This window comes from Homo sapiens, chromosome 3 (genome assembly GCF_000001405.40).
Source record: "Homo sapiens chromosome 3, GRCh38.p14 Primary Assembly".
NCBI lineage: Eukaryota > Metazoa > Chordata > Mammalia > Primates > Hominidae > Homo > Homo sapiens.
This window is the reverse complement of record NC_000003.12, coordinates 40974153-40996638: the sequence shown is the minus strand read 5'-3', so window position 1 is coordinate 40996638 and position 22486 is coordinate 40974153. Positions and strand designations below refer to the sequence as shown.

The 22486-nt window shown below is 40.1% G+C and overlaps 1 annotated feature.

The window, feature by feature from the left end:
* Positions 383–883: an enhancer, noted in NCBI's record as "H3K27ac hESC enhancer chr3:41037247-41037747 (GRCh37/hg19 assembly coordinates)". NCBI's record gives its function as "activates a minimal SCP1, AML or CMV promoter by ChIP-STARR-seq in primed H9 embryonic stem cells {active_cell/tissue: H9 hESC(primed)}" and the evidence as "EXISTENCE:reporter gene assay evidence [ECO:0000049][PMID:30033119]".

The following is a 22486-nucleotide window of genomic DNA, read 5'->3' as shown; positions in this document are numbered from 1 at the left end:
TGGAAATTCCCAGGAATTCCCTTGGTGAATCCTGCAGAGGCATTGCCTCAGGGAGACTGACCCCAAATATAGCAGGTGCAGCTGGCCCCAGGCTGGAATGCACTCCTCGGCTGTTCTTCACCCTGAGCCAGCAGGGACTCTGCCTGATACTGCACTCTCTCTTTTCTGCCTCCTGGATCAGGGTGACATGCTTTGAGCCTTTTTTTTTTTTCTTTAAAGCTCTACGTGACAAAATAAAAAGGAAATCACTGAGCCCTCTTTCCTCCCCTATTTGCTTTACCTAGTGAGAGCTAAGGACACAGTTTTGGCTCTTTTTTGGTAGATTGCTCCATGCACACATGAATTCACTAAGAATCGAAGCAGAAAGCTCCTGTGATGAGAACCTGCTCAGTTAAAGTCACCCTAGTGCGGGACCTTTAAGACTGCCTGTTGCAGAAGAACTCTACTGAGATGAAGATGCGAAGTAACTATCTAGTACATTCCACTGCTGAAACAATGGTACAACCCTGGGCATAATCCATTCTGAAATAAGGTGCAACATAAATGAAGAAAAAAAGTACGTAATGTTAGCTACATATTAGTACATATCATTCTCTGTATTTGCTGGTTCCACATCCATGGATCAAAATCTGTAGATACCGAGAACCGACTGTATCTATTTTCCATCCATGGTTGGTGGAACCCACAGACTGGGTTGCAGGGGTCTGACTGTACTGTGCCATTTTATGTAAAGGACTTGAGCATCAGAGGATTTGGTGTCTGCAGGGGTCCTAGAACCAATCTTCCACAGTTAGGGAGGGCCGAATGTATATTTAGCATTTACATGTGCAGTGTATTTTCAGAATGGTTTGCAAGTACTCTGAATTCAGGAACTCAATATGTGTGATGCACACCCATATTCAAATTTTTCTGTAATAGGATTTGCTGAAAGGGGGAGAAAAGATTGGATTATTCACAAAAAGCTGTTAGAAAGAAAGAAATGATATTGTACTCCAACACCACACCATACACAGAAATATATTCTAAGTGGATTAAGAAGTTAAATCTAAAAGAAAAAGTACAGTCATGCACTGAAAATGATGTTGCAGATAACAATGGTGATTATAATGGAGATTATAATGAAGGTGAAAAATTCCTCTCACTGAGTGACGTGTGGCCATCATCAAGTTGTAGCACAACATTACTCACATGTTTGGGGTGATGCTGGTATAAACAAACCTGTGTTGCCAGTTGTATAAAGGCATAGCACATACAACAATGTACACTATGTAACACTTGATAATAAACAACTGTGTTACTGATTTTTGTATTTACTATACTATACTTTTTATCATTAGTTTAGCGTGTACTCCTTCTCCTTATATAAAAAAAAGTTAACTGTGAAACAGCCTCAGGCGGGTCCTCCAGGAGGTATTCCAGAAGAAGACATTCTTATCATCAGAGATGACAGCTCCATGCATATTATTGCCCCGAAGACCTACCAGTGGAACAAGATGTGGAGGTGGAAGACAGTGATGTTGATTATCCTGACCCTGTGTAGGCATGGGCTAATGTGTGTACTGGTGTCTTAGTTTTTAACAAAAAAAGCTTAAAAAGTAAAAAAAAAAAAAATTATAGAATAAGGATATAAAGAAAGAAAATAGTTCCATATAGCTAGCTGTACAATGTATTTGTGTTTTAAGCTAAATATTGTTAAAAAAAAAAAAGGGTCAAAAAGTTAAAAAAATTCAAAAACTTAGGCTTTTGTGTTTATGTGCAGTGTTTATAAAGTTTGCAGTGGTGTGATTTCTTGGCCTTCCCATTCACTCACCACTCACTCACTGACTCACCCAGAGTAATTACTAGCCCTGTAAGCTTCATTCATGGTAAGTGCCCTATATAGGTGCACTGTTTTTAAATCTTTTGCATCATATTTTGACTGTACTTTTTCTATGTTTAGATGTGTTTAGATACACAAATCCTTACCGTTGTGTTACAATTGCCTAGTATTCAGTACAATAACATGCTGTATAGGTTTATAGCCTAGGAGCTATAGGCTAGACCATAAAGCCTAAGTATGTAGTAGGCTGCGCCATCTAGGTTTGTGTAAATACACTCCATGATGGTTGCACAAAAATAAAATTGCCTAATGGTGCATTTCTTAGACTGTATCCCCATTGTTAAGGGACTCATGACTGTATAAAGGTATTAGAATAAAACACAAGATAGTTTCTTTTAAAAAAATTTTGGATGAAGGAGCTTAGCAACATTGCAAGAGACAAGGTCAATATACAAAAATTAACCACATTTTTACACACTAGCAATGAAAAACTGAAAAATTGAAATTTTAAAGAGTACCATTTTTAATAGCACCAAAATGTGGATACTTAGGTGCAAATTTTACAAAGTATATTCCAGTATGCTGAAAACTACAAAAAAACTGATGATAGAAATTAAAGAAGTCTCCTAAATAGAAATGTACTGTGTTCATGAATTAGAAGACTCAGCATAGTTTAGATATCAGTTATCTTCAAGTTGATCTGTATATTCAGTGCCATTCAAATCGACACCCCAGCAGGCTTTTTGTAGACATTGACAAACTATTCTAAAATGTATATAGAAATGCAGAGGAACTAGAAGAGCCAAAACAATTTTGAAAAAGAACAGGGTTAGAGGACCGACACTACTGGATTTCAAGGCTTATTATAAAGCTACGGTGATAAACAGTGTGATATTTGTCAAAAGTAAACATGAAGATCAATAAGACAGAATATAAAGTCCAAAAATGGACCCGCAGATATATGCTTGATTGATTTTCAACAAAATTGCAAAGGAAATTTAATAGAATAGGCATTGCCTTTTCAGCAAATGATGTGGGAGCAATTGGACATCTACATGCAAACAGACAAAAATCCCTGATCCATATCTCACACCATAAACAAAAACCAACTCAAAATTGATCATAGATCTAAATGTAAACCCCAAAACTATAAAGCTGTAGCGGAAAATAGAGGATAAAATCTTTGTGAATGTGGGTTAGGCAAAGATTTCTTAAATATACCACCAAAAGCAAGATTCATAAAAGAAGAATAATAAATTAGACTTTATTAAAATTAAGAACTTCTGCTCTTTGGAAACATTGTTTAAGGTAATTGGAAGACAAGCTATAGACTGGTAAAGAATATTTGCAAATCACATAGCTGATAGAGTTACTGCATATATTCAGAACTCTTAAAATTCAACAATAAGATAACAAACAACCCAATTAAAAATGAACAAAGAAGTGAATGGACATTTTACCAACAAGATATATAGATAGCAAGTAAGCATATATCATTAGAAAAATGCAAATTAAAATCATGAGATATCCCTACACAACAATTAGAATGGCAAAAGAAAAAGAAAGTAGAGAGAAAGAAAGAATTTTAAAAAAGGAAGGAAGGAGAGAAGGAAAGAATGAAGAAAGGAAGGAAGGGAGGGAGGAAGGAAGGAAGGAAGGAAGGAAGGAAGAAAAAACATCATTAATAACAAGGAAAAAGAAACATTATTAATAACAATGTGGAGAAACAGAAACTCGTATTTTGCTCGTGCAAATGCAAAATGATGTAGCCATTTTGGAAAGCATTTTGACAGTTTCTTACAAAGTTTAATAAAGTTTTCATATGACCCAGCAATATCACTCACAGGTATTTACCCAAGTGAACTGAAAACTATGTTGACACAAAAACCTGTACATGAATGTGTATTTATAATCATCAAAAACTGGAAAGAACACACAAATTCTTCAATGAGTAAATGAATAAACACGCTGTAATACTTCCAACTCAGTAAATAAAAAAGAATGAAGTATTGATTCACATAACAACATGAATGTATTTCAAATGCTTTATGCTACATTACAGAAGACATACTTGAAAGGTCATATATTCTATAATTCAATTTATATGACCACTTAGAAAAGGCAAAACTGTATAAATAGAAAACATATCAATGGTTGCCAGGGGCCATATGTGTGAGAAAGGTTGACTACAAGGTGACATATGTGTATTTTTATTTTTGGGGAACTGGTTTTTTTTTTAATCTTAATTGTGGTGGTGGTTACATAATTCTATGCATCTGTTAAATCTCACAGAACTGTTCAATAAAATATCTACATTTTACTACATGTAAATTTAACCTAAAAGTGAAACAATAAGGTAAGACTACAGCATAGAAAATTTTACAGCAATGGGAAATATCAATATCCTACAAAGCAGGGTAAAGGAAATTCAAATACACTGTAGAACAAAAATCAGTTGGTGAATATTTCTTGGAAGGCAGTTTGGCAGTACATCTTAAAATTTTAAAAAACATGTACTTTTCACAATAGCCACTTCCACTTCTGGGAATGTATCCTACAGACATGCTTGCACATGTGCACACTGGTGCAGTCAGGCCTGCAGGGAATGTGGTCCACCTGGTCTTCTTAGCTTGGGAACAGCCAGGAAATGGCATCTTTACCATGGGTATTGGTGAGACAGACACTATGGGTTCCCCACTCATATCCTCTTGGGCCTTACTGTTGTAGTGCATACCAGCCTGTCTTCCAGTTGCCTAAGGTTTTTCTCTGGCATGAACTAAGACCCCCTACCCCAATAGCCCTTGAATAATTAATGACTGATGGGAGCTGGTGTGTAAATACTCCTGAGGGCAGAGGGCCAACTCTGAGGTGTGCTTTCTATGTTGCTTCCAAGAGTCTCTCATTGAGATTAAACTTCAGGTGCCAATGATGGTGATTGGCTTGATAACAAATCTGTTGTTTCTTTCCCCTCCCTGCTTGATTCTCTACTCCTGGGATTATGTCTCACATAAGGTAATTGTGGTTGAATCCTTGTCTTAGGTTCTGCTTCTTTGGAAACCCAACTAAAACAATTGGGTTCCCCTAGAAGAAACACAGTGGTGGGCACTACCCTTAAATGGCTTCCTCATTGGTGAGCATCAGTGATGGGCCAGAGAAGAGGAAAAAACAGCTGTTTATGAGCATATGAGGGACCCTTGCAGTTTGGAGGAACAGGGGATGGTTTTGCATGAGGTATGGGCTTGTGCTGCTGAAATGGAAATGACTGCTGTCATTAGGACCCCTCTAGCCCCCACTTTGCTTACATTGCTGGTCAGCAGGACTTAAACATATGCCATATCAGAGTTCCTCACAGTCCCTGATTTAAATAAGACCAAGACAGCTGAACGTGTGGTATTACTGAAGGTGCACTTTCCCCAAGCACCATCAGTCACTGCTCAGAGATTTAAATTTCACAAATGGAATCTGCAGCTTGTGAACTACTGCTGTTTAAGTTGGATATTAATAATTTGTGCTCCTTCTACTACCAAAAAAGAGTTTTGAAAAATTGCTGCTTAGGTTGTGAATTTTATAACATCCTGGGCCAATTCATCTTCTAAGGTTACCTGGTCAAAGCACCTGCTATTCACAGCACCAAAGATTAGATTTTCATAATCCACAGTGGGCTGACTCAAAAGAGAAGCCATGAATTTCAAGCCTATCCAAGACTGCTTGATTTAGGTCTTGTTCTTTCACAAACAGCAACCTTTGCTGAATTACTTCAGTGACAACTGGACTCTTTATGAAGACCATCCTGTCTGGAAGATGATACAAGGTCAGTGATATCATTGAAGACACTTCTGAGTCTCTGCAAATATATTGTGTTCTCACCACTGACAATATCAGAGTGGAAGGCCTATTCGAGGTCAACTAGTTCATGCTCGATCAGATGTTGCTAAGCCACCTGCCATACTGGTCCTGCATTTCACTGGGCTAGTTTCTCTAAGATACAGCCCATGGGATGATCAATTAATACTATCAACTGTGTGGCTTGATGCTGTAGATGGTCTTGATTGACAGGTGTCTTAATAGGTGTGGGTAGGTGGCAGGTAATGGAATTTGTTTCATCAATTTGGTTTATTCATAATCTGTAGAAAGGATAACCCCTCTACTTAAGAGTGACTTTCACAGGAAAACTCTGTATGATTATAGAAGACAGTTTTTGTGATATGTTGGCCCTATAATTCATCCAGGTGTTGCACCTGATAACATTTCAGGTGGTTTGGAATGAATTCTCACATATAGCATGACTAGTCAACAGATTTTGATGAGAAATCCATCTAGGTTTCTGCGAAATGAGTGCAAGGAAAGAATTTCTTGATATAAATCTATCTTGATATAAATCAATACATATTTATCGATCTATATAGTTTGGAATAGGCTGTAACTTCTTGTTAACAGTAGTGTCAATCAGATATTAGAGTTATAAAACTTAAAGGTATGTATGACCTCTGCATTGCATAAACTAAAACTTTCAGAAAGACTTAGACCTTTAAGAAAGGTCATTCAGTGGCTGGGTCTGTTGGGACAGAGTGAAGCAGATAGTTGCTCAATCCTAGTAACTCTCCTTTGAAAAATAACCTTTTGTTTTCCCTTAATTACAAGTTTCTTTGCTTATTAAAAATTTAGATATGATTTCATCCCTTTACATAACCTATCCTGAATGTAGAGTAGGATAAGAATGGTAGGTGCCTAGCTGCAAAAATTCAGATGGGCTTGGGGTGAAACACACACAAACCTCAAAAACAGGCTTGGAGGAGATAGAGCTAGGGAAGAATGCAAAGAATGGGAATGGGGGTCAGGAACACGACTCTAGGGCAGGGACTTGCCAGGACAACCCAGACTTTGGACAAATAGTAGGAGTGTCCAAAACAGCAGAGGCAGGAGGTGGTACTCTAAGCACGAGTATGATTAACACACTTAGACATGAGTCCCCTAACCAGGCTGACTAAGAATTGCAGAGGCCCCAGTGGACAGGGCCATCTGGTCACTTGCCAGAGCAAGGCTCCGGTGGACCCTCAGCAGGCTCAGGGCTCAGACCAACAAAGTGGAAGCTTAGGAACAGGCTTATGGATAACAGAGTGTGGGAGGTTGGCCCAACACATTGGACATTAGTGAAAGGCTGCAGCAGGGAGTTCTTTGGTGGCCAGAGAACTCATCACAGCAAACGTCAGGCCTGTGGCTTAGCAGGAATAATGCCAACCCACATGCTGGGGCTGGGGTTGCTGAAAGGCTTTTTGTGATAAAGCATGTCCCTGATTGGCAAAGGACATGCCCTGCATCTTGAATGGTGGGGCCTTCTCACAAGAAGTTCAAGTATGGCCCAGGTGCCCTTAGGGCTTCCTCATAAAGCAAACACAATGTAGCATGCTGCCCCTCAGAACGTCCGCCTGTCCTGCTCTGCCTCACCCTTGCAGCCTCAGCCACACTGGCTTGTTTGTTTTTCCTTAGAAAGTCTAATCACTATTCTGCCTCAGGGCCTTTGCACTGGCTGTCCCCTCTGCCTATACTCCTCTTCCCACAAATATCTGCTTAGCTTACTCCCTCACTTTCTCCCAGTTTCTGCTCTAATAAACCTCTTAAGAAAGGTCTTTCCAGACCATGCTTACTAAAAATAACACCTTTTCTTTCTCTAACATCTTGGCTTGGATTTTTTTTCTTGATAGCACTTACAACTCTTTTATATTATATCACCTACTCATTGTACATTGTCTATCTCCTGACTCTAATAAAAACACTATAGAGTAGAACTTTATATACCATCATATCTTCAGTGTGAGCTTGGTACAAAGAGGTGCTCAAGAAAAATTTGTTGAATGAATGCATAAACAAATGAACAAGGCATACGAGTGTGTACCATATGTAGTGAGTGGCTATGGTGGTCATCACCAGCACTCATGTGGCTTGATCATGACAGTTAATGAAATGGGGTTGCCTAAAGTTGCCAGTGGTCCTAAGAAAGCCTTGCAAGACTCCATAAAATGTGAGGTTGCTGAGTGTTGTGAGGAGAAGCTTTCAATTCACAGCGAACCCTCCTACTGCATGGTTCTCTCCCCAGCTAGTTTTTCCATCTGCTGTGGACAATGGCAGCCCTGATTGACACAAGCACTCCTAGCAGGGGCTGGAGACTGGCAGGCACTCAGGCAAGGTGCAACCTTGGGAACAACCAGGGAACTGCATCCACAGAAAACAAAACCCTCTAATTTGTATTCTCAGCAAGATTCAAGGGGACAATGCACTTATGAAAAGGGAGAAATCTGAGATCAGGATAGATTGGTTTCTGATGAAAAACATGAATTCCTTAATTTAGAAAACCATCCTGGACACCATGAATAGCGTGGTGAATAAGGTAGAAAAGAGACTCATTGATTTTGAAGGATGGTTTGATAAATTATCTGATTATTCAGAAATGTAAAAAGGTTTCTTATAAGTGTAAAAAGATTGAGATCATGAGCAAAAAGATGAAAGTCATAAAAAATGAATTCAGGAGGTATAATAAAAGCCATTTTCTTGAGGTAAAAAAGACTAGAATCTTCAGATTAAAAGGGTTTACTAAGTATCTGAGACATTAATGTAAAAGAAGGCACACTTAGAAATATTCTAGAAAGTTTAAAAATTTTTAAGAATAAGGGAAACAGATCTTACATGTAACCATCTAGATAAAACAAACAAAAAGATAAAGCTGACAACTCACTTATTTTCTGCAACTCTAAAGATCAGAGGAAGGCTAGGCGCAGTGGCTCATGCCTGTAACCCCAGCACTTTGGGAGGCCAAGGTGGCAGATCACAAGGTCAAGAGATCAAGACCATCCTGGTCAACATGGTGAAATCCTGTCTCTACTAAAAATACAAAAATTAGCTGGGCATGGTGGTATGTGCCTGTAGTCCCAGCTACTAGGGAGGCTGAGGCAGGAGAATTGCTTGAATCCAGGAGGTGGAGGTTGCAGTGAACCAAGATCACACTACTACACTCCAGCCTGGCGAGGGAGAGAGACTCTGTCTCAAAAACAAGCAAACAAACAAAAATCGGAGGTAAATGGGACAATGTTAGAGATGGCAATCGAATAATTCTGAGCTGAGGCAAATAGAGAACTTCCTAGCCAGACAAGGTCTCTGAAAGGATGCAGCTCACCTTCCTTTCTTAATTCTGTTTTCTCAAAAAGCAGTCTAGTGATGTTAGAGACAAACGTGACAAAGAACTCAAATATGAGGAAAATAGGATGTAAAAGAAATGTGCACATTGGGAGGCTGAGGCTGGTGGATCACCTGAGGTCAGGAGATCGAGACCAGCCTGGCCAACATGGTGAAACCCTATCTCTGCTAAAAATACAAAAATTAGCTAGACATGGTGGTGCATGCCTGTAATCCCAGCTACTTGGAGGCTGAGGCAGGAGAATCACTGGAACCCTGGGAGGTAGAGGGTGCAGTGAGCCGAGATCGTGCCACTGTACTCCAGCCTGGGCAAGAGAGTGAGACTCTGTCTGAAAAAAAAAAATGATATAGCTTAAAGTTAGAATTATTGTATAAATAAGGATATTTAATTGTGTAAGGAAACAATACAATTTTAAAAATAATTTTAAAAAGAAAGAGATTTCTAATGTAACAGTATTAGTAACTTGGATTTAAAAGCCAAGGTTATACTAAAAAATCTTGGGAAGTTGGAGGTGTATATAGGTGGGAAAGAAATGGAACTATATGGAGATCTTATTTTTCACGGAGAGTGTCGAAAGGTCCTGCATAAAAGAATATAAGATCAAATATTTTTTGAACTGTAAGGATAGCCATGAAGCCAGCAAAAATAGAATTCATGACTTTGAAATCACTAGGGTAAAAACAGCAAATAAACAAAAGACATTTGGCAAAACATAGGAAGAAAAGAAGCAAAGAGGCATAAAAAACAAGGCATAAACTAAGATGAAAGAAGCAAGAGCAAACATGTCAATCTTCACAATAAATGTAATAATGAATACAATAAAAGCAAAGACTCCCAGATTAGATCCAAATGCAAGTTGTTTATAAGAAACATGTCTCAAACAATAACCGAGACATGAAAATAAGTAAGTTAGTAAATAAGGAAATAAATGAAGGAAGGAACAGGCAGGAATATTTCAGAATAAGGCACACAATTAAAAAGTAATCTGTTTAAAATGAAGGCTTGTGGAAGGAAGTCTTGCTATTCCACATAATTCCTCTTCGCAAGAGCATCGTATTTATGCAGAAGAAATATAATGATGAACCACTGAGGTGCTGCTGGGATCCCAAGGGCAAGCTTAAGCCTCAGAAGATGCTTACTAACCTGCTGTGCAGAACCCAGAAGAGGACTTTATCTGGATCTTAGGAGACAACTAGAGAGAGAAGAGAAGGAGCCAGCAAAATCCTGGCAGGCTGTGCTCTATGTGATGCTAACTTCTTTCTGCACTCCTGGAAATTTCAGTTAGTTTAGCCAAAATCCCTGCTTAACCCTGGGCATCAGTAGGCTCTTTGTGGAAGTGGGTACGGGAGCTTGATGTGATGTCTGAGTTGATTCAAGATGGAATATTTAAAGCAAATTCCAGATGCAGAAGGGATCATAAGGAAGCCCCAGCAATTGTGGCAGTATTGGTGGAGGCAGGGGGAATTCTTCATAGTTTTCCACAGGGCACGGATTTGGGAGTTTGACGCTGATTTGCTGACATCTGGATTACACCAGTAGATGCACTATAATGAAGATGTAAAAAACACACAAACCAGACACAAGCATAAGTTGGGGACTGGAATGAAACAAATGCAGGCTCCAAGCTAGCAATTACAGCATTCATACCTAGAGATGATGGAGTACAGAGCCATGGCTAAAAAGTGTGTGTCCCTTGCAGCTGTGCTTGGGACCTGTGAGGCACTCCATAAATGACTGCTGTTGAAGTTGGGCCTGCAGCCTCAACTGAAATAAGTGTGCAGCAGACAATGTCAGTGATCTACCCAGATCCCCTCAGGATCCCTTTCTACCATTTTTACGTGCTCCATGTCTGTGGTATATCTTCACTTCCAACAGCCAGCACCTGCAACCTGCAGTGTTTTTATGGGGGATTGCCCCCAGGCTGCTGGAGCCCACTTGGGCCACCTGTAGGAAAGGCTGGAAGTTCCTAGGAGTTTACTTCTCCATCATGGCCCTTAACCAATGGCTAATGAGTGTGGGAGAATTCGAGCCCATTCCCTTTTCTGAGGTGTAGCTTGTGCTCCAGAGCAAAACGTACATGCCAGAGCTCCCATGCAGGGTCAAGCTGAAACTATCTTCTGTGGGATCTTGCCTGAGACAGCTCCCTTGTTTGGCTTCCTCCCTGCTCTCCCTTATCAGGTTCTTATCTCAGGATCTGCTTCTAGAGAATCCAACCAAAACCTGGTGTGTCTGGCCTCTTGCAGCTCTGGCTCTGACTCTAATGAAATTGCCTCCCTTTGCTTTGGCTGCTTGCCAGAAAGTAAGCTTATGATTTGTTCCTCAAGTAGACTCTGTCACTCATAGAGAATGAGTGAATTGGCCTACAAACACTAGCATGAGGGTGTACGCTCATGTTAGCACCTTGCTCATGGAGGGCCTGTAAAAGAATATGCCCATCCAGCATCCTGAAGAGTGTAAAGCCACCACTGAGGCTTTCAGCTACTGGAGTCCCTCCTCAGCTATACCATGCTTCTCCTCTTTAGGAAGCATTATTCTTCGTTGTGGGGGACTGTCCTATGCATTTTATAATGTTTAGTAGCACCATGCTAGATGCGAATCATATTCCACCTCTCCGATCAAGTTGTGATAAACAAACATGTCTCCAGACATTGCCAAGTGTCCCATGGGAGAGAAATCACTCCTGGTTGAGAACCAGTGATCTGTACTGGTCCCCAGGACTATGGCTGGTGCTACCACCACACCTTCTCCCTGGAGTGAAAACCCACTTCTTCCTCCTAAAGACACGATTTATTAATGGTAAGAGGTAAAATATTAATTTTACCAATCAGAGTTGTCCTGAGTGAAGCCTGATACTTTAAAGTTATGGAGCTCCCTGTTATGGCAGATATTTAAGAATAGGCAGAACAAACAGCCAGAAGAGATACTGAAGGGAGAATTCTGTTTTTGTTGGGGTTTTGGTTGCACCAGAATGTAAATATGCCAAGAACATCAGGTTTGGGGCTCTAGAAAACACAAAATATATGTGGAATACAGTCTGTGTGGGAAAGCTATCATAAGCAGGAAGGCAGGTTCTATCTAGAAAAGAAAATAGGATTGAATATAATGGATCATAGGTTGAGTTAGATCTAATACCAGGAGACCCAGGATGGCTGAAGAGATGGAAGAGCTGGGAAAGACAAGATGGGAGCTAATGCGAGTGTCCAGAAATTCAAAAAACCTAGATAAGTTTGAGCAGGCAACTGCATTTCCAACCCAGGAGATTAATGTAGACATCTGGGTCTCCATTAACTCTTAGATATATGGGTCTCTATTAACTTTTTCTTAGACATGTGGGTCTACATTAACTCTCCCAAGGTGGGCAGGAGCTAACACACTTTGTGTGTTAGACTATGAAGTTCAAGCTTTGTCTTTTAGGCAAAGAGGAGCCACAGACTAGCTGTAGATAAGTTGCTAAATTTGGGACATGAGGAGTGGTGGGTCAACTTACATCTGTATATCACACAGAGAAGCCCTTGTAATTCTGGTCAGGCAGCAATGCATGGAAGATCAGTCACAGCACTTCTACCTGACTTCTCATTGACTTCACTCATAGGCCAAAGTCATAGGTCTGCTCTTGTCAAGCTTACCAGTGGGTTTCATCTTGGAAAACTATGGGTAATTTTCTGTCTTCATCTTACTTTACTTTAAGCATTTTACGCAGTAACACTGTCCTAGATGGGCTTTCATTATATCATCTTCTCCAGAGTTCTTTTCCTTTTACATTAAAATATTTTAAACATACAAACAGCATAGGAAGTATGTTAGACACCCTTACAACCACTACCAATATCAAACAGAAGTTTACATTTTGTCGTATTAATTCCAATTCTATTGTATCTTACATTTCCCTTCTGGATTTAATTTTCCTCATCCTAAAGTGTCTCTCTGGTTAATTCAGGGAAAAATCTCTGAGTGGCGGATTCTCCTATGTTTTGTTTAAAAATGTCATTATTTTGCTCTTACTCTTGACTGATACTTAGCTGAGTATAGATTACTTTTATAGCTGACTTTCAGATTAAGAATGGATTTTCCCTTGGTTATTCTATCATATGACACCAATCTATTGTTGTGGAAAAGGCTATCATCAGAATAAATATTTCTGTGAACACTCCATCTTCCTTCTCTGGTTGCTAGGGTGGTTTTCTTTGTTTTTGGTACTCTGTAGTTTTGCAACAATGTGTTAGGTGTAGATTTATTTATTCTGCTTGTAAACTTTTCCAGTCTGAGAATTCATGTTCTTTGTCAATCTTAATTTTTTCTCTTTTTCGAATATTTCATTTCCTCTTTATTTTTTTTCTCTGGAACTCCTTTTAGATAAATGTTGCACTTTCTCATTTTGTCCTCAAAATCCTTTACCTCTCCTTCACGTTGTCAGCATTTTTATGTTTCTGGGCTGCCTGTAGGTATTCTCCTTAGATTTATCCTCTAGACAACAAATTCTCTATTCAGCCACAAATAACCTGATCTCTAACACAACCTTCAGCTTTTAATTTTAATGATGGTATTTTTTCCTTCAAAAAATTTCCATTTGGATACTAGACTTCTGCTTTCAGTCAAATAAAATAACAGAGACGAGATTTACCCTCCTGACAGAATAAACCAAAATAAGCAAACAAACAACAAACGAAGTTTTAGGAAGTCTTAGACGAAGTATAAGAAGTAATGGTTTACAAGATACTGGACCTTAAGCAATGAAAAGCAGTGGTCCCTGAGAGTCAGAAGGCAAATGAGGTGAGTCCCAGCTTACATCTTGAGAGGGTTTCCAGCCACAGAGCAGGAAGAAGAACAACGATGGAACCTGAAGGTCTCCTTGAGTTGAGGAGATAAAGCTGAGAGTTTAGGGAGACCAAGATAGCTAGAGTTTGCAGGATACGGGACTAAAAACAGGGGAGAGCTGCATAAAAGGAAAGCCCCAGAGATCTGTGGAGGGTCCCTCTTGAATATTCACCAAACTGTGGATCAGTGCAAAAGTGTAGGAAAACTACCCAAGACTAAGGAAAGAACTACCTGAACAGATTAGAGGCAAAAGTGCCTTGTGCCCGCGCAGGCTGGGAATAGTGCCTATTTCTACCAGCTACCCTGGAAAATGTACGACAACATTAGCATAAAGGCCAGCAAGGAATAAATTGAAGTGGATGATTGTACAGTTCTTACACTTTACTTGAAGTGAGCATCATATTACCTGAAGGTAGACTATGATCACTTAAAGAAGTAAAATATAAACTCTAAAATAATAAAACAGAGTTATACCTAATAAATAAAAAAGAAGATAAAGTGAAAGCATAAAAAAAAGAATCCTTCCCCTAATAAATGTCAGAATATGAAGGAAAGGAAACAAAGAACAGATGGGATAAATAAATTTAAAAAACCAACAGTAAGATGACAGACTTACAATTAATAACAATAACCAATTAAATGTAAATGATCTAAATACTCCCATTAAAATAGACATTGTCGGGCTGGGCATGGTGGCCCATGCTTATAATCCCAGCACTTTGGGAGGCCAAGGCAGGTGAGTCACCTGAGGTCAAGAGTTCAAGACCAGCCTGCCCAACATGATGAAAGCCCATCTCTACTAAAAATACAAAAATTAGCCAGGTGTGGTGGCAGGCGCCTGTAATCCCAGCTACTTGGGAGGCTGATGCGTGAGAATTGCTTGAACCCGGGAGGTGGAGGTTGCAGTGAGCTGAGATCACGTCACTGCACTCCAGCCTGGGCAACAGAGAAAGACTGTCTCAAAAATAACTAACTAAATAAATAAAATAAAATAGAGGTTGTCAGATTGGATAAAAAGAGCAAGTCACAGCTAAATGCCATTTAAAATAAATGCATTTTAAATATAAAGATATGAATAGGCTAAAAGTAAAAAGATGGAAAAAAGTTGTGCTAACACTAGCCAAACAACACTAGTGAATACTGTGCTGACATTACCAAAAAAAAAAAAAAAAAGAAAAAGAAAAAAAAGGCTGGAGTGAGTGGCTGTATTAAATGTTAGACAAAGTAAATTTTAGAGCAAAGAATATCATAATGATAAAGAAGTCATTCATGAAAGTCATTCATAAACCTAAATGTTTATATACCTTATAATAGAGCTTCAAGCACAAGAAGCAAAAACAGAATTTCAGGGATATAGAAGACACAATTTACAATAATAGAAATCTCAGTAACATTCTCTCTCAGTAATTGACAAAACAAACAGAAAATTAGTAAGAATATAAGAGAGTTGAACAACACAACCAACCAACTTAACCTAACTGACATATATAGAATATTCTACTCAACAACCAGAATACACACATTTTTTTTCAAGTGCCTATAGAGACTACCAAGATGGACAATATTATTCTGGGCCATAAGACAGGTTTTGTTAAATTTGCAAAGTTTTGAAGCATACAAAGTGTTTTCTGATTACAAAATATTAAATTAGAAATCAATAACAGACAGACATCTGGAAAATCTGCAAATATTTGGAAACTAAGTAACACACTCCTAAATAACTCAAAGAGATCAAAAAGAGAAATTAGAATGTATTTTGAGTTGAGTGAAAATTTAAAAACTAACATATCAAAATTTGTGGGAGGCCACTAAAGCAGTGATTGGAGAAAAATTAATAGCAGTAAATGCCTATATTTGAAAAGGTGAGCTTAGCTTCCATCATAAGAAACTAGAAAAAAAAGAGCAAATTAAACTCAAAGTAAGCAGAAGAAAGAGTATCATAAATATCAGAATGGAAATCTGTGAAATAGAAAAGAGAAAAATAATAGAAAACATCAATTAAACCAAATGATATTTGTTAAAATTACCAATATTTAGAATCAGGGAGGTGACATCATTTCAGAGTCTAAATTGTTCAGGAAAAACCCTCAAACCACATTTTTCCTCTGCTCTCACACCACAACAATCGTCAACACAGAAAACTTCTGTGACCAAATGTGTGGAGGTTTTTCCCCACACACCAAGCAGCGGATACCAGCTGGGTGTTCAATTCAATTCCGACACTATCTACCTGGAGTGTCAGATGCACCCATCCCTTCTTCAGACACTCGTAGCAAGTCTGGGCCTCTGGAACTTCTGAACAACCAACTTCAAGTTGAGGTTCCTGTGACCCCCTTCTTTGGGTTCTATTAATTTGCTGGAGCAAGTCACAGAACTCAGGAAAATACTTACTTAGGTTTACTCCAGTTTATTATAAAAGACATAACAAAGGACATAGATGAAGAGATGCATAGGACAAGGTATGGGGGGAGGGGCATGGAGCTTCCACGCCCTCCCTGGGCACACACCTTTTAGGAACCTACAAGTGCTCACCTATCCGGAAGCCCTCGGAATCCTGTCCTCTTGGGGTTTTATGGACACTTCATTATGTAGGCATGATTGACTAAACCATTGGCCATTGGGGATTAACTTAACCTTCAGCCTCTCTCCTCTCCCAGGAGGTTGGAGGTGTGGCTAAAAGTCCCAACCCTCTAAACCTGCTTCTGTCTTGGATGACCAGCCCCTCCCTGAAACTGTTAGTTAACATTAGCATACAAAAACACAGCACTTTATAGATTCCAGTGATTTTAGAAGTTGTATGACAGGAGAGGGAAGGAGAATGCTGTAGTGATTGTGTCCCTGAGTCCAGGTGTCCCTGAGGTCCAGCTGCCCTGTTGCCCTTCCCTTGCTTTGACTACCCCAGTGTGTTTCCAATGAATCACTATTTTAATCCACGTTGGATCAAGTTTGGTTTTGGTAACTTGCCGCTAACAGAATCCTCAGAATACAGTTTTTAATACAATTCTAGAGAGTTAGAGTCTTACAGTTATGCTTCCTGTCTCTGCTGAGACTAACCTTGATCTTGTAGGTGGAAGAATCAGAGGACTCAACTATGGGATGCCAGGGACAATGAAGGCAAGGAAATGAGCCAGGACCAAGAGGGGACAAGGAGTTATATTTCCACTGCTCAGGTAGTGGCTACGCCTGCAGCCTTAAGGGTTCAGCATCAGGAGCAAGGTCTTTCAGTATCCCATCCAGGTGGCTCCTCTCACATTTAGAGAAGTTGTGTGGTACAGTGGAAAGAGTAGTAATTTGGGACCAGTACTAAGCCAGAGTTCAGATACCAGCGCTGCCACCTGCTAGTGGTGTTATCTGGGGTAATGTATTTGGCCTCCATGAACCTCAGATGCCCCCTGTGAAATGGTAGTAATTGTTTCCCCAACTAAACCTTTAAGGCTAATCTTACACTGTATGTACCCTTGAGCTTTGTTTATGCAAACTCATCTATTGAGTTTTTCTATGATTTCTTCCCTTTCTCTGCAGTACTGTTGGGTTCTTAGGCCAGGACTCTTTGTGTTCATTGAGGAATTTGTCTTGTGTACACCCTTTGGCTCTTTCCAATTCTGGAGTTCAGAGTCCCAGACCCCAAGCCCTAAGCCACCCAGTTCCATTCTTGTCCAGCCTGTGAGGGGAGTTGCAGGCAAGTTGCAGGCAGAAACAAGACCAACTTTATTTACGATTATGGGGCCTTAATAAACAATACGTATAAAACACCTACCACATGGTGGAGACCTAAGGGATATCATTTTCCCTTTTCTTCAGTCTAAGGGAAGAATGTGGATGAAATCTGAGTGAGCCGAGTTAAATGTCATGCTAAGTATCCATGTCTACACTGCAAATCCAGATGTGGTTTGTCCATTGCTGCTTTTCAAATGTCATACTCTGATGGGTAACATCACAAAATGCTGTTTGGGCTCTGATGTAATGGTGAGAACTATTTTCAATGGAGAGGAATTTAATCTCATTATCACCAGCAGTCTGGTTGGGGTTGATGGCCCTGCCATAGGATTGCAGACCCCATCAACAAAAGAAGGTGTATCATTTCTAGGAGATACATGATTGCCACTGCAAAATTATTTTTAGGAAGTTGCTTTTTCTGTACAGAACATTCACCTGAAAATAGCTGTGAGCATTGTGGAGGCAGCACGCTGCAGAGTACTGAACTGAAAGCTCAAGCCTAAAGATTTATGGTGCAGATTTTACTTCTTCTGGATTTTGTAATGATACAAAACATGTTGATAACAAATAGCAGCTGTAAGAAGGTTGAGAATATGATCCAAATTCAATTAACTCCTTGCCTTTTATCCACGAAGAATCTAATTATTATGCACCTAAAGGCAGGAGGGAAAAAAATTACTGTTTGTCCCCCTCTCAGATAACAGTGGATCATTCTATTGTATTTCTACTAAAAAGTGTTTTCCTTTTTTCTCTCTTACTAACCGAGTCCTGTTTTGTTCGGGCAGCAGGTCATGCAAGCAAGTCTTGGCAATCTCATTCCCTTTTGCTAGTGATTGGTCTGGGGTGGGCATGAGAGAAAGGCTGTCAAAGGAGATGGAAGGGGAAACGTCTAGGGACTTCCTGGGTTGGGGGAGAAGGATGGGGAAAAAAAAAGAGCATCAGAAGCAGAAACCCTTTTCCACTGCCTTTTCCCTCCTACCTTTGGAGCAGAGCATGAGGATATGTTTCCTGAAGTTGCAGCAGCCGTCTTGCCCTGTAAGACCACTGCCTGTGGAAGTAAAGCCAGCATATGGAAGAGGCAAGGTGAAAGTCTGGGTCCTGCATGACACAGTGAACTGCTAAGTCAGACCTTGGACTCCCTATCTCTGGACTTCTCTATAATTAAAGAACAAAAATCCTAATGGATTAAGCTACTGAAGACTGGGCTTTGGTTATTTGTAGCTAAAAACAATCCTAAGGGATGCACACTCACTGTCTTTTCCCCCACTATCTTATTTGTTCTCCCCATCTTTCTTACTGAATACCTCCCTCCCACCATTTTCATCTGGGCATATGACCACTTGAATAAATGCTCTACTTCCCAGATTTCCTTACAACTGAGTGTGCCCATGTGACCTAGGAGATATTAGCAGATGTGTCAGGTGGCAGCTGCTGGGAACCATCCTTAAAAAAATGGATGCATGCAATTTGCACCTTGTCTCCATTCCTTTCTTTATTCTGCTATCTAGAATGAGACTGTGGTGGCTGAAACTTCAACCACCATCTTGTACTGTGAAGACAAGGGTCTCCATTCTAGGGAGGAAACGTGGCAAGGTGAGAAAACTTGGATTCCTGAGGTCTTTGTAGGGCAGAGCAGCCCTAGATTGCCCATCTCCAGGCTTTAACCATGATAGGAAAATAGGCTTCTATCATGGGTAAGCCATGATTATTTTGGTACTCTGTTAATGTAGATGAACTTAATCCCATTGATACACTAAATGGGCAACTGCTGAGAGGTCTCTGTGCCTATCGTGGTCATTGTACCCTGGGGTCTACAGCAGCCTTCTTGCTTCAGGAAGAATAGGAAGGGGTTGATAGTAAGGAAGGCAGCAAATTTTTAAAGGTTTCCCCCAATTACCAAAGGTGATTTTTTTTTTTTAAACCAAACCAACAGCTTGTCACCAGCAGGAATCAATGCTGGAGGAAGGGTGGTCAGGATGGATGATGAAGAGAAACTCAAAGAGAAGCCTGAAAAGAATTTTTGGCTGATGAGAGAAGAGGCTAGAGAGGAGACGCCAGAGAGAAAAGAAAGATATTAAGGAAAAGGAAAGGTGGCATGCTAAAAACAGAAAGTCCAGTGTTTTCTCTCTTGTCTCTTCCTTTAAGGCTCTGAGATTTGAACTGTGGGCATGAGCCAAGGAGGCCCAGGCACCTGGAGATCCAGGAGATATCAAGGTAACTCTATACAGGGTGTCCAGGAAATGTGGAAGTGACTGAGTGTGAGCTCAGTGAGCATCTGCCCAAAAATGATAATAAGAAATACTCACAATTTCAACCAAGCATGTAAGTTAGGGCATCTATGATTTGGGGTGAGTTTGTTGAAGAGAATTTCCACATCCAACTGACTTCCTGTCTGGTATAAGGAGGTAGAGGCATATTCCATTCAACCAATATTTATTGAGCATCAGCTGTGTGCCAGGCATTCATAGAGCATGTTTTAGATCAGGGATCAGCAAATCTTTTTTGCAAAGGGCTAGATAGTAAAAACTTTAGGCTTTGCAGGCCACGTGGTCTCTGTTGCAGCTACTTCACTCTTCTCTTGTAGTGAGAAAGCAACCATAGCCTCCACTGATCAGCCATAATATGTAACCAAGTGGGTGTGGCTGTGTCTCAATAAAACTTTGTTTATGAAAACAAGTGGTAGGCTGGATTTGGCCTGTGGGCCAGCTGTAATTTATCAATCCCTGTTTTAGATACCAAGCACTGTTAGATACTCTAAAAATAATCCACGTACAATGTTAAACACCTACAACTGGTCTAACATTGTCCTAGATGTTTCAAAACATTGTCTCTCATTATTCTAATGAAAATAAGAATCCTAGAAGTTTTGTGGACGAGGAGACTGACATTTGGAGGTAGTACATAACACAGCCTCAGGCTCACAGCCAGTAACAATGCTGGGATGTGGACCCAAACCTGTATCTCTAAAATCTGTGCTCATATAAATACATCCCTGTCATATTATTTTCTGCTAATGAAATTCTCTTCTCCTAACTGTGCGTCGTGCCTGTGAGACTGTCAGCAGGCGCACCTGACCACATTTCAGACATTCCCCAAGGACCAGAAGAGAGGAACATGCCAGCAAAGCTCATGAAACAAGGCGCTAACACAAACATTGTCTCATTTAACACATTTCCTGCAGACAGAAAAGTCAGTTTCAAATTGTGGGTGGGAAAGGAAGGGAGAGACAATTGGAGGAAAAAAGACAGGCATGAGGCTCTGAGGAATTCCACAGCAGAATAGCCTAATTATAGTGTCTCCTCTCCTGGGCCTGAGAACCCAGTGGGCAGGAAGCTAAAAATACCAAGCCGGTTACCAAGAACCTACCATGTGCTGACCTCGCATTAAGGGCTTTCTTTCTGTGATCTTAGTTAATTCCTACAGAATCTCCATGATGTTGGTACAGGACCCTTTTTCTCAGTGGTGCCAGAGGCTCAGAGAATTGGGTAGATTGCACAAGGCCACCCAGTTAGTGAGGGATAAAGAATTAAACGGACATCTGTCCTACTTCAAAACTCAAGCCTCTCCCCTGTCCCATGGCTTTCCCGAGCCACTCTTGAGGTATAAGATCAATAGGGCTTCTCTGGGAGTGGTTTAATCCAATAGGCTATACTCCACTGATCATAGTGTGTGCATGCACAAGTCCTGGTTCTGCCTGCTTCTTTCTCTGAGAAGAGAAGCAAAATATGCAAGAATGCAGAGAGTATGGCTTCAGAGGGAGGGAGCTGCATCAAATCCTGATATTCCACAAAGAACCATATGAAGGTGCTTCAACAATCCTGATCTCAGTCCCCTTTCTGCAAAAATGAGAATAATAAAGACCCATCTTACAAGGTTGTTGTGGCAATAAGATAGGAAGATGCACACAAACACTTTGCACAATGCTTGGTTTATCTGTGGGGGCTCAATAGTTGTTGGATGAATCTTAAAGTACATTGAATAGCAGTGAACATTTGGAAAGTGGTGTGGTTTATTGGTTGAAGCCTTAGACTTACTGTACCAAACAGATATCCTGGCTCTGCCAGTTACTAATATCTGACCTAGAGAAGGTAACCTAATTCACCAAGCCTTGATTTTCTTCTTTGTAAAGTAGAACAAATACAAGTAACTGCATTATAGGGCTCCAAAGATTATCAAATAAGAAAATCTAGATAAAGGACTGTGCCCAACAAATTGTAGAAGCTCCATAAATGTAGTTATTATTATGTTATGATTATGTTTATTACATATGGGCTCATCTATTAAATTAATAAAGGAGGGAAGGAAGGAATGATGGGAAGGGCTGTGGCTCATGTTCAAGGGAGGGATTTTCTTGCTTCTCTTTGCGTACTCATCCTGATGTAGCATTAAACTGTGTGGACTGCTCAGAGCCAACAGTGGACTGAGAAAGATCAAGGGTTGCAGGGGTGGGGTGTGGTCTGGGCAGAAGCTCTCTTGAGAGAACAAGAAACAAATTAGTTTTCATTATTTTTATTTTATGTATTTATTTTAAATGTATTTATTTATTAACTCAATAACTATTATTGACCCCTTATTATATACGAGGCCCTGTGCTGGGCTCTCAGGATACAGGGATAAATAGAACAGACATGGTCTCACCCCTCATGAAGCTTGCAGTCTAGAGGGAGGGTCAGATATTAAAGAAGAAAACCAAATCAGCATATAATAGCAAATTATGATGTTTGCTATGAAATAAAACAGCTGGATTCAATGAGACAGGATAACAGGAAGGATCATCTTTTGATGGTGAGGAAAGGCCTCTGGGAAGGTCTGAGGAGATGGCACTTATGCTGAGACTGGATGGATAAGAAGGAAATAGCCCCACAAAAGGTAGGAGAGGAGGAATTCCAGGGAGAGGGTACAACAGTGTAGAGACCTTGAAGTCAGAAAGGGTTTGGTGTCACAGG